This window comes from Homo sapiens, chromosome 4 (genome assembly GCF_000001405.40).
Source record: "Homo sapiens chromosome 4, GRCh38.p14 Primary Assembly".
NCBI classification, from domain to species: Eukaryota; Metazoa; Chordata; class Mammalia; order Primates; family Hominidae; genus Homo; species Homo sapiens.
The window spans coordinates 5,913,505-5,925,624 of NC_000004.12; the positions used below are offsets into that span (position 1 = coordinate 5,913,505).

Sequence of the window (12,120 nt, forward strand, 5' to 3'; positions counted from 1 at the left end):
ATGGAAAATATAGATGAGATAAAATGCTTTCTTCTCAAAATGCCCTAATATTTTGTTTCAATATCAAGATTCATTAGAGCCATTTCACTTTCGCTGTCCTTAACATTCCGGTCCAATTGATGGATTCGTTCAGGAGTCAGGGTCCCTTTGAATCTCATTACACTAGGGCTCCTGGGTGTATTGATCCTATTTAGAAATAAGGCAGTAAATCGTCCACAGACGTTGGGACCAAACCTCCAGGCTGCCAAGGGAAAGAATACAGAAAGCGGGGCTTTCTCGCTGCATTGTCTGCTTTTAATTTAACTTTTAGCACAAGTTTGAATTTCTGAACCAACAATAGGTATCAACAGCTTTAAAAATGTTTATTCCCTTGGAGACAATAATTCAATTTCTGAGAATCAATCTCCAAGAAATAGTCTTCTATGAAGACAAAGATTTATAGACAATGATAGTCATCTCATTACCCCGGCAGCCCAAATGTTCAATAACAAGGGTTGAGAAAGGTTCATGCTATGTAATCATGAGAAGTAAAGTTTATGAAGACAATGATAGCATGAAAAAATGCCTACAAGACTAGATGAAAAAGTAGATAAAATTGTATATTGACTATGATTATGAATATTGTATGGAAACTTACCCGCAGGGATAAAAAAGAATATGAGCCAGGAGGTTAACAGATTTTGTTTTTGTTTTTATGGGTGTTTTTTTTTTTTTTTTTTTTTTGGAGTCTCGCTCTGTCGCCCAGGCTGGAGGGCAGTGGCGCAATCTCGGCTCACTGCAACCTCTGCCTCCCGGGTTCATGCCATTCTCCCGCCTCAGCCTCCTGAGTAGCTAGGACTATAGGCGCCTGCCACCATGCCCAGCTAATTTTTTTTATTTTTAGTAGAGATGGGGTTTCACCGTGTTGGCCAGGATGGTCTCGATCTCCTGACCTTGTGGTCCACCCGCCTCGGCCTCCCAAAGTGCTGGGATTACAGGTGTGAGCCACCGCGCCTGGCCTTTTATGGGTTTTAATGTTTTCTTAACTGCTTTTCTCTGTGTTCTAGTTTTTCTGTAATAAGCATACATCACTTAAAATTAATTATCACGGTTTGAATTTTTAATACCTATATAAGTTTACCATGTCCTCTCTTACAAAGCCAGCAGATCTATCTGAAGAAATGTGTGCGATGGTGCTTCTCATTTTTCGTTTGTTAGAAATACTTAGAGGGTATAATGTCCTATTCTATAGCATTAAAGTTATTTGTACTTGATCTCACTTGGACATAATAACCTTGAGCTTGTTTTACAAGGCTGAGTCAGTAAGTTAATGTAGCCTGGGATTTGCTTATGCACACAGAAATTCAGATAAAAGCCATTTCCATCAAATCAAAAATCAGATGAAGGTGCCATCTCATAGTCTATTTCCCTACTAGGATAAATTCTCCTGTATTTCTAATGAGTTTTAGTTTAACCTTGATTGTCTGTCTGGTCACTTCCTTAATCCAATGAGTAGCTCAGAAAGTAATTACTCTAAATTCTACACCTAAAAATATTATCTTCAATATACAGGACAGGCACCGCAAATGTCTCTGCCCTGCTTCCAGTTCAACTCTCCTCCTAACGACCCTCCAGGGAATGGCCAGAGGGATCTTTCTAGACTGTAAATCTAGTTCTGAAATACCCCCTTCCTGGGTCCACCTGCCTTAAGAGCCTCAGTGGTCCCTAGGGCCATGCCAGGACCCCCTTCATCTTGCCTGTCAACATCACCATTTCCCATCATTTTGTCCACACGCTTTAAGGTTTGATCATATCCAGTTCCTGCCATTCTCAGACACAGTTTGTTCTTGATACCGTTATGTGCACACATGCTACTAGGGAAAGACATGGTTCATTAGCCAACCAACAGCTACTCCCAGTTCCTTTCTCCTTTGTCATCTCCTAGACTAGAGCTTGGAAAGAGGGACCTTGGCTCTCAGGTAGGAATGACCATGGGACACATTTGTGGGCATCCCTGGCCAATGTATGCTGGAGGTTTGCCTTTTCCTTTCGTCTTGGGACACAGTTGTGAAGACTAAAGCCACAGCAGCCACCTTGTGACATGAGGCAGTGACCACCAGGAAGAAAGGCTAGCAAACTGAAGACAGTGGTTCTGAAGGATGGAAAGCAACTGAGTGGTCGGTAGCATCACCAAGGTACCAAACCAGCCCTGATGCCATGCACTTCAGTCTCCCTGATGAGTGGGTAATAAACACGTGCTCGTTTCAATAGGATGTGTCCTGTTTCTTGCAGCTAAGCATCTCCTGCCTGACTCACTCTTCCATCACAGGAGGTAAGTTCAGTGCCTGGAACATTCTAGAAGCTCAATCCAGGTTACTTCCCTCTCCTCTTTTTCCTGAATGTTCCTTTTAGGCTACACTTACCTGCTGGGAAGTACACTGTACCTAGAACCATAGATTTCACTGAGATAGACCAGGTTTTGTATCTGCAGGCACAATTTGGCTGCTTGTGAAAGGAACCAAACTGAAGTTGCCTGGGCAAAAATGGCACAGGAAGGCAAGGCTAGTCCTGTAACAAGGGATGGGTGTGCAGCTACCACAGGGGCAGAGCTCAGCTCCACACAGTAGTGACCAGGGACCCAAGCATTGCCAAGAAGCCCTACCATTTTCCTGGTTCCTGTGGGCTGTGACTTCTTTCTTATTCTGTCCTGGCTTCCCTCACTGGACAGGGAACAGACGCACCAACAGCTCCTGGTTACTCTGGGGGGCCCATGCACAGAGAATCATAGTTTCAGAATGAAGAATTCCCATTGCCTTGCCTGGATTTTTTGTCTGGGTGTTGACCAATCAACTAGGAGAGGGGTGGGGCTTAACCACGCCGAACAGACAGCCTTGGGTCCCTGCCCACCACAGAGAAGGCTGGGAGCCAGGACCTGCCCCCAGAGCTCAGACCCCAGGCACTGGGTTGTTTTCCCTCACATCGCAGCCCACTCCCTTCTTCCCCAGGACACAGAGGAGAACCAGGTTGCCTTCAGGGCAGGGTGACTCACCCAAGGGCAAAGCTATTACTCTGCAAGTTTCTAAAAGCTGCCTGTCTTGGATTGGGCACCCTCAAAAGCAGAGCCTGAGACCCAGACAGGGGTGCAGGTGGTTTATTTGGGGGGAGATCCCAGAAGTAGGAGTGAGGGAGCAGGGAGGTGAGACAGGGAGGGCAGAGAAGACAATATCCAGATGGGTACTGAGGTCACTCCTGCAGGAAATAGGGTCACGGCCCCGAGAGCACTTCTGTGAAGAGCACAGAAGGCCTCGCAGATCTTCTGCTTAGAGGACAGGAGCCTCTGCTTGAGGTGGGCACAAGCAGAGTCTGAGCTTGCCAGCAACAAAGCACTGCAGCTGAGAGCAGAGGCAGGCTGGGGACAGTGCCATCGGGCCCAAACACATCACTATGTGGACTGAAGAGGGTGGAAATCCAGAGCTGGCTTTCCCTAGAAGTTGGAAGTTTCCCTGGTTCGACACCAAATTAGCCAAACCTAAGTAAAGATTTGGCCACAGGAAAGTGGATCCAAGATTTCCAGATCACGTACATCATGCCTACGCTACCAGAGGCCCCCACATTTTTTGATATAATTCTCAATTTGTATGACTACTGTATCCTTATCCCACTGTTATAGATGAGGAAGCTGAGGCTCAAGAGTCATTGAGTAACTTGTCTAAAATCTGAGAAGGTGAGCTCATTCACACAGCCCTGCTTAGCCAGCCTGGGGCTGCAAAAGCTAGACATTTTAAATCTTTAAAATAAAATGTGTTTGTGAACCATAATATACAGGAAAGTATAACTGAAAAATATACATGATCCTTCTTAAAAAGAATAACAACCTGAAGCCATTGATGCAGGAAAGTCGTAGGTTTCAATTCCTGTATTTCTTTTTTTTTTTTTTTTTTTTTTTTTTGAGATGGAGTCTCGCTCTGTCACTAGGCTAGAGTGCAATGGCACGATCTCGGCTCACTGAAACCTTTGCCTTCCGGGTTCAAGCGATACTCCTGCCTCAGCCTCCTGAGTAGCTGGGACTACAGGCACGCACCACCACATCCAGCTAATTTTTGTATTTTTAGTAGAGACAGGGTTTCACCATGTTGGCCAGGATGGTCTCGATCTCTTGACCTCGTGATCCGCTCACCTTGGCCTCCCAAAGTGCAGGCATGAGCCACTATGCCTGGCCAATTTCTGTATTTCTACTGAAAGCTATAGTATGTTTCTTTCTTGAGCCTTGAAAGCACACACCCAACCCCAGAAGGCATTTAATTATCAAGCACTCCAGCATTTCAGCTGTGCCCACCCCGGTCCTGGTTTGCACAGGTCATTAGAAGTCATCCTGCCTTCGACTTCCATAAATCATCCCAGGCCAAGCAGGGGCCCAGGCGAGAGGTGGCGTGCAATTGGCACAGAATGCAATGAGATGCGGCTGGTCATTCATCAGAGAGCCGGGGACTGGCCCGACGCAAATGACGACTAAGAAAAATGATTCTAGGGCCCCGAGGGTGAAGCAGGTAACGAAAGGGCAACATTTGATAAAGAAACTGTGCTGTCACTTCTGCTGTCAGGAAGCTCCGGGAAGAAGCCCTCAGAAACAGTAGGCCCCCCAAACTCAAAACTCAACCACAAGAAACAAAAGAGGAGGCGAGGTCATATCATACAACCACCTCCCACCGCAGCAGGGATGGTGAGCTTCAGTTATCACACAGCAGAAAGAACGTCAGCCAGTTCAAATCCAGGTAGCACAATTCACACCTCACGTCCCATTTCACAGATGGGGAAGTGGAGTCACAGAGTGGGAGGGCCTCGCTCAAGGCTCTGCATCTGTTACAGAAAGCAGTGCTGCTGGAATTCAAACCTGGGTAATTTCACTTCAGAACCACATTCCTAACTGGTCCACACCGTCACCTTTGGAAATAAAAACAACCCAATGTCCTCCCACAGTTAAGGATTTGCAAGTGGCTTAAGTGGGCTCATTCACTGGTCATGAACTGGGCTCCTGGTCTGGGTCCAGCCACAGTGGCTGCAGCCCAGAGAGGAGTGGAGCTCAGGGCTGTGCCTGGTCTGGGCTCACCTTGCGAATTTCAGAAGGAAGCTCTAAGGGAAATGAGAGAGCAAGTCACGTCTTAAGTGGGGCTTGTAAATTGACTTTTTGCTGCATCCAAGCATCCCAAAGGCATACTAAGGAAAATGATGACCTCTCTCCGCCCTTCTGCATTTAGCTACAGTACATCCTTTGCAAATGGGCCCCACTGCAGGGGTCAGCCAGGTGTTGCTTCTCAGCCTGGAGGCATGCCAGAACGACTGGGGAGCTGCCAAAAGTGTCCCTCCCTGGACCATTCCAGACCAAATGAATGGAGTCTCCTGGCGGGGGACCCCAGCAATGCTATCTTTTAAAGCATACCCCTCCCAGGTGGTTCTAACGTGCAACCAGGGCTGAGAATCACCGGTCCAGACTGCATTCCTCTGCACAGATGGGGAAACTGAGACCCGGAGGAGTCAAAGGGCTTGCCCAAGTCTCGGTGCTTCTCAAGAGAACTTGCTGCTATGGCTCCTGGTTGGGACAGACGTGGCTCCCTCTTTCCCAGGTGGGACATTGCTAGTGAGCGGTAGCGGGGAATGCTGGGGTGTGGGGGCAACGTCAGATCGCAGGACTCCTCTCTCATTCAGGGCCCCTGGCTGTGCCATTTCCGGAGCTGAATGTATTCAGGGGCCTGTTTCCAGTTCAGAGGAGCCCCAGGCTTGAGGGTTGGCAGACCCAATGCCCGATTTCCATGGCTACCACAGCTCAGGAAGGTTCTAGAAGTCTGGATGAACTGGCGTGGAGTGTGTATCACCTTCCAGGTGACACATTAGATCTTCTTTCACTCACTCCCTGTAGGCAGTGGACTGAGGCAGGGGCAGGTGGGGGTGGGGGGCACACCCTTTCCTAAAGGGGACTCACCTGCCTCATGCCTCAGCAGCCCCACAGAGACTGTGCAGGAGGCCATGTCGAGGACGTCTCCCAGGAAGGTTTCCCTGAGCAGCTATCAGCTGAAGCATGGGTGGAGAGGATAGCTGCTGTCTCCAGAATCTCCCTTCCAATGCAACCACCCTGACCCCAAGGCATTAACCCCAGGTCAGCAAACGCCACACTGAGACACTGAGTAGTCAGGCCTTTGCGAGGCTGGCTGCTGCAAATAAGAATTGGTGCCTACTGGGCCCTGGAGGGACCACACCAGCTGAAACCGCTGCCATGGCAGACAAGAAAATGCTCTCTTGCTGAGCTCCCACAAAGCCCATGGGAGAAGACGCTTCACCAGAATCAACTCTGAAATAGGGGTTTCTTCGGGCACAGGTGGCCCTCCCTATCCATGGGTTCCACATCCATCGATTCAACCAACCAGGGATTGAAAATACTCAAAGAAAACTTAGTCTGTGTTCAACACGCACAGACTTTTCTTGTCATCATTCCCTCAACAACACAGTATGACAACTACTTATAGAGCATTTACATTGTATTAGGTATTATAGTAATTATAAGTATTTTAAGTAATAGAGATGATTTACAGCACACACTGTGTAGGTTATATGCAAATGCCGTGCCATTTTCTAACAAGGACTTGAGCATCCTCAGATGTGGGTCTCCTTAGGAGGTCCTGGAAACAATGCTGCACAGATACCGGGGATAACTCTATGTGCATTAGTGTTTCTTGCATAGCAATTGGGAGCTCAGGCTCTGGAACGAGACTGCCAGGTTCAAATCCCACCTCTGCCACTCACTAGCTGTGAGATCTGTTTTTACATCTGTGAGGAGGGTATGACAGTCATGTCTACTTTGGAGCTGGTTGCGATGATGAAGTGAGTTGAGGTGTGCGCCTGGTGCCTATAACAGGGTCTGGAACATGGCAGGTACCTACTTCATGCTGGTTGTGATGATTGTCTCAGCATGGAGGATGAAGGGAGAGAATAAACATTGCTTTTTTTTTTTTTTTTTTTGAGATGGAGTCTCACTCTGTCACCCAGGCTGGAGTGCAGTGGCACAATTTCAGCTCACTGCAACCTTCATTTCCTGGGTTCAAGCTATTCTCCTGCCTCACCCTCCCAAGTAGCTGGGACTACAGGTGTGTGCCACCATGCCCTGCTAATTTTTGTATTTTTAATAGAGATGGGCTTTCACCATTTGGCCAGGCTGGTCTTGAACTCCTCACCTCAGGTGATCCACCCATCTTGGCCTCCCAAAGTGCTGGGATTACAGGCGTGAGCCACAGCACCTGGCCAAATATTGCATTTGGTTTTCCAAGCACAAGTACCATGATGGTAGAGCAAACGCAAACAACTCCGTGCTCAACAACTGCTGACTGCAAAGGTGTGCTGTGAGCTCCGAGGGGTACTAGATTTTGGTCTCACTGGTCAGGGCAGAATGGCTGAGCCCATGGGAAGCCTCGGGTTGTACGATGCTTCCAGGAGTGGCAGGAGCAGTGGACAGTCACCCTCATGCTGAAGAACTCTGACCACAGCTGGGATTTCTCTGGGATGTGGCCTGCTTATCTGAGTGACCTGAGACCTTGATACCTGAGCAAGCAGCTGGTCCAGGAAGAGCCAGGCAATGTCCCAGGAGCAGTTCCAGCTCCCCATCCATTGCTGGGCCCTTCCACGCTGAGGGAGGATCCCAGGGGATGACAGGTGTCCGGCGGGGATGTGCGGTTGCCTGTGATAGGCTTGATGATGTGTCATCCTCCTGGGCTCCCTGACAGACTCTTCAATAAATCTGCATTGCTCAGTCCTGCCGTGCAAGTGGATTCTGTTCAGGAACTCAGAAAGAAGCCAAGAGCTGCCTCCCAGTCAGGCGGTGGGCTGGGGGAGGAGCCTGAGGCCCTGGGACAAATGGCCTCCAGGATATATATACACACATGCGTGTCTGCATATGTAGACGGTGGCACATGTTATGTGCACATATAGGGGAAGGGATGAATGCCGTGAGACAGTGCAGATAAAGTAACAGAATGCAAAGTTAGAGTTGGCTTCCAGCTGACAGACCCTGCCAGCATCAAAAAGCAGGAGGGCTTCGATGTGGGGAAAGCTTCCAGGGAGGCTCAGGGGTGGGGAGATGCTGAGTGTGTTTCGGGAGGAGCCACCGGGTGGGTAAGTTGGCAGGCAGAGCTGGAGAGAGGAGGAGGAGGGGACACTCGAGAGGGTGGAAAGCTTCCATGCAAAGGTAGAGAGTTTGGATTTTACCCTGCAGATAAGAGTGGGTGGATATAAGAAGTATTTTTGCACACAGGAGTGATATAAAAAGTGCTGCCTTTCTAAAGAAAGAGCAGTCTGACGGCCGGTGCTGGGAGGTGAGGAAATGGGGCCAGGGAAAGCTGTGATAAGGGTGTGGCCAGAGGCTGCCTGTGAAGGCAGAGAAGGCTCAGCTACTGCATCAGGCACAAAAAGCAGCAGAGTGTCTCTCTGATCCCATTTGGAAAAAAGCCCCCGAAGGAACCTAATAACTAGGAACAGCAGCCCCCTGCTCTGCCCCCAGTATGCTGGTTTCTGGTCAAGCAGGAAAGTGATGAGAGCCCAGAGGAGATACACACTTGAGAGATCCCAGGGTGGCTGCCTCAGCTCAGATCCCAGTGGCTGGAAGACAAGCCTGCAGGGTGGAGGCTGTCAGAGCCCAGAGCACAGGGACCACATGCAGGGAAAGCTAATCCCAGAGTGGTGGGCCGGGGCCCACTGCGATGCACGTGACAGTGATGCACGGGGACAGAGGATGGGCCCTCCCATCTCCTCAGAATCCCAGGAGGTGTGTCTTTCAAAACAACTGCCTGAAAAGATGCAAACCTTAAGTCCGTGTTTCCTACACAATGAAAAACAAATAACCTTGTGGGTCGGGTAACTCATACCTGGCCCTCTACTGCACAGTAGTCAGCTTTCACTGACTTGGTCCAATTTGTCACTTACTTATCGAACACCTTCTAGGTGCTGGGCCCTGCATCAGGTGTTGGGGCTATGCTGGGAAATAAGACAGAGTCCTTGGGGGAATTGGACCCACGGGAAGGGGCAGGCGTGGCATGCCATGGGTAACTCTGCAGAAGAGGGCTTCGGGGAGAGTGCCTTGCTTGTAAACTGCCTATCTAACCATCTCACCTGTAGATGGTAAGCACCATGAGGGCAGGAGAAGGGTTGTCCTCCTGTCCCCTCCAGCTCCTGCATCCATGGCAGTGCCCAGCCTGCAGCGGCCCTCGTGGCATGCTCATCAAATGGGCAGATGGATGCCAGACTCTAGGGTGGGAAAGGACCCAGGGAGTTTGCTGGACTCCAGCCTCCTGGCTCCAAGTAACACACAACTCATGGTCTCCTCATTAGCTCTCTCTCCTCCCAACCCTGTCCCATGGCTCTGAGAGACCTTTGAAAGGCAGGAGCCTAGACCTTCACCTCACCCCAGCTTCTCTCCCAGCTGCCCTAAACTGTCATTAGTAATCATCATTCTAAACATTTTGACAGCACTTCAGCATTCACAATCCACTTTTCACACATTTTCTCCCTGGGAGCCCAAAGAAACTCTAAGGAGGGACACAGAGTGAACTTTCCTGGAGTAGACGCGATTTTCCCTGTTCCAGGAGGGAAAGGGACCTGACATTTTGCACGTGTAATTAACTTAATTATCTCAGCAACAATGCAAGGGAGCGATTATAATCCCTGTTTTACAGATGAGAAACTGATATTCAGGGAGGTTACAAATGTGGCCGAAGGATCGCAGCTAAAGGGTGGTAGAGTTGGGATTCGAACCTGTTTCTGACTCCAAGTCCAGTAATAACAACAAGAACAAGGACAGAAACAGTGATGGCAATGAGCCCTGAGTGTGAACTCTGGACCAAGCGCAGAGCCCACATGTGCTACTAATTGTGTTCATTGCTAACAAGGGGAAGGGGGATGCGGATTAGATAGACTCAGGGAGGAGGCTTTTGTGGCGGGGGCGGCTGGGGACAGGTGTGCATTAGTGCCTGCCTGGACCCCACCCCACCAGCACAGGTGCAAGCAGATGGAGAGAATGATAGAAAGGAGGCAGAACCCACAGGGCTGGGCGAGGGATCGGGGGTAGGGATGGAGGGGAGAAGGCTGGCCTGGTGCCAGGCATGATCCATCAGTAGGGAATGTGGGAGGCTGTGTGGTCACTCCTAACCCAGCCCCTCCCACAAATTTCCTTCCAATGGCTCCGGCCTGTAGACTTAGGCCACACACATTGAGAGTTGTCATGGTTAATACTGAGTGTCAACTTGATTGGGTTGAAGGATGCAAAGTATTGTTCCTGGGTGTGTCTGTGAGGGTGTTGCCAAAGGAGATTAACATTTGAGTCAGTGGGCTGGGAGAGGCAGACCTACCCTCCATCTGGGTGGGCACCATCTGATCAGCTGCCAGCGTCGCTAGAATAAAGCAGGCAGGAGAAGATGGAAGAGCAGACTTGCTGAGTCTTCCAGCCTTCATCTTTCTCCCATGCTGGATGCTTCCCGCTCCTGAACATTAGGCTCCAAGTTCTTCAGCTTTTGGACTCTGGGACCTACACCAGTGGTTTGCCAGGGGCTCTCGGGCCTTGGGCCACAGATTGAAGTCTGCACTGTCAGCTTCCCTGCTTTTGAGGTTTTGGGACTCAGACTGGCTTCCTGGCTCCTCAGTTTGTAGATGGCCTATTGTGGGTCTTCACCTTCTAATCATGTAAGTCAATACTCCTTAATAAACTCCCCTTCATATATGCATCTATCCTATTATTTCTGTCCCTTTAGAGAACCCTGACTAATACAAGAGCCAAGAGTCAAATGGAAACCAAAATAGTCGATTTCTGATTAAACTGCAGGAGCTGATGGCTTAGGTTTGAGGCCAAAAGTGGGGGCTCCTGGACCCTCCCCACATCCAGCCCTGGAGGCCTATCTTAGCGAGAACTGGGACAGGCACAGCACATTCCCAGCCTGCCCCACACCCAGGGCCAGCAGGAGCAGAGAGCAGGAAAGGCCAGACGGTTTGTTGGAGGCTGAGCAAGGGTAGAGAAACCTCCTGGCCTGGCCCCGAGCATGAGCCGCTGTGAACCGTCAATCCCTGGCTATAGGGCCCTCAGTGCTGAGAACCCAGGGCGGGCCTGGAGCAGCAGCCCAGGTCTTCTGCCATCAGAGTGGCTGGCCGCCTCTCTCGGGGAGGAAGGAGGAGGGACTCCTGGGCTGGGAACTGAGATCAAGTTCCACGTGGATGTGGGGAGAGGGGTATCCACTTGCACAATATGAAGCGGCTTTATAGAGGAAGATGCCAAGTCCAGCTGTAGCTCTTTCAGTTGCCCATGGAACATCCAAGTGGGAACAGGAAGGTGCATTATTACAGAACAGCAGGTCAGAGGGTCCGGAGCTTAGCAGGGAGGTCCCAGTGGCCGCCAGGTGCCAGGGCAAGGGTGGAACCCTGGGAAGGAGCACTTGGGTGGCAGGTGTGCAGCTCAGGAGGAAGTCTGGGAATTCCCTGGCCAGGAAGGGGAGTGGGAGAGGTTTGGGGGGTGGGGCAGGAGGTTCGCAGTGGTGGCCATGCACCAGGTAGGAGAGGACCAGGAAGCTGCTTTTGGGTTTGCCAAGATGTTGGTCTGGGCCACTTGGGTTGGGAGGGAGAGGCCAGCAGAGGGAGTGGAGACAGACTTCACTGAGTGGGGAAGAGAAGGGACCAGCTGATGGAGGGCCTTCTGAGATGGGCAGAGGGAAGGGATATGGCGCTCGGCAAGGGGAGACCCGCAACCCCTGAAGCAGCAAGGAGGTGTGGTGGGGGGTGGGCTCTAGTGGGGAGGGCTGTTGGGGGACCCCCAGGCCGCTGGATCCCCAACTCTCTTCGCAAAGGACCATTCCAGGCAGGGAGGCATGGGGAGCCCTGAAGCTTGTGTGGGAACTGGTGACCGTACATTCCGCAGCATGAGAACTAGAAAGATAAACTTGAGGCAAGGCCAGAGGGCCTCAGGACCGATGGTCACCCTGTTGGGAGGACGGTACCAGTGGACAAGGACTGGCAGAAACAGCCAGCCTGGCCCCGGGAAACGCAGAGAGGAGGATGGCTGTGTCCCATGAGCAGATCCTGTCCTTTCACCAAGCATAACACTGGGTTTCTATGGCAACC

General features: G+C 50.5%; 1 protein-coding gene and 1 non-coding gene across 5 annotated transcripts in view, besides 2 other annotated features; both read right to left on the reverse strand.

The window, feature by feature from the left end:
• The window catches only part of C4orf50 (chromosome 4 open reading frame 50), a 120,960-nt gene that overhangs the window by 15,918 nt on the left and 92,922 nt on the right, over window positions 1-12,120 (reverse strand). The gene's annotated exons all lie outside the window — the stretch shown is intronic.
• Window positions 8,638-9,137: an enhancer, noted in NCBI's record as "H3K4me1 hESC enhancer chr4:5923869-5924368 (GRCh37/hg19 assembly coordinates)". NCBI's record gives its function as "activates a minimal SCP1, AML or CMV promoter by ChIP-STARR-seq in naive H9 embryonic stem cells {active_cell/tissue: H9 hESC(naive)}" and the evidence as "EXISTENCE:reporter gene assay evidence [ECO:0000049][PMID:30033119]".
• Window positions 9,771-9,824, reverse strand: MIR378D1 (microRNA 378d-1). The gene has a single exon (NR_039608.1). It is a non-coding gene; the product is annotated as a microRNA 378d-1 (primary transcript).
• Window positions 11,120-11,620: an enhancer, noted in NCBI's record as "H3K4me1 hESC enhancer chr4:5926351-5926851 (GRCh37/hg19 assembly coordinates)". NCBI's record gives its function as "activates a minimal SCP1, AML or CMV promoter by ChIP-STARR-seq in primed H9 embryonic stem cells {active_cell/tissue: H9 hESC(primed)}" and the evidence as "EXISTENCE:reporter gene assay evidence [ECO:0000049][PMID:30033119]".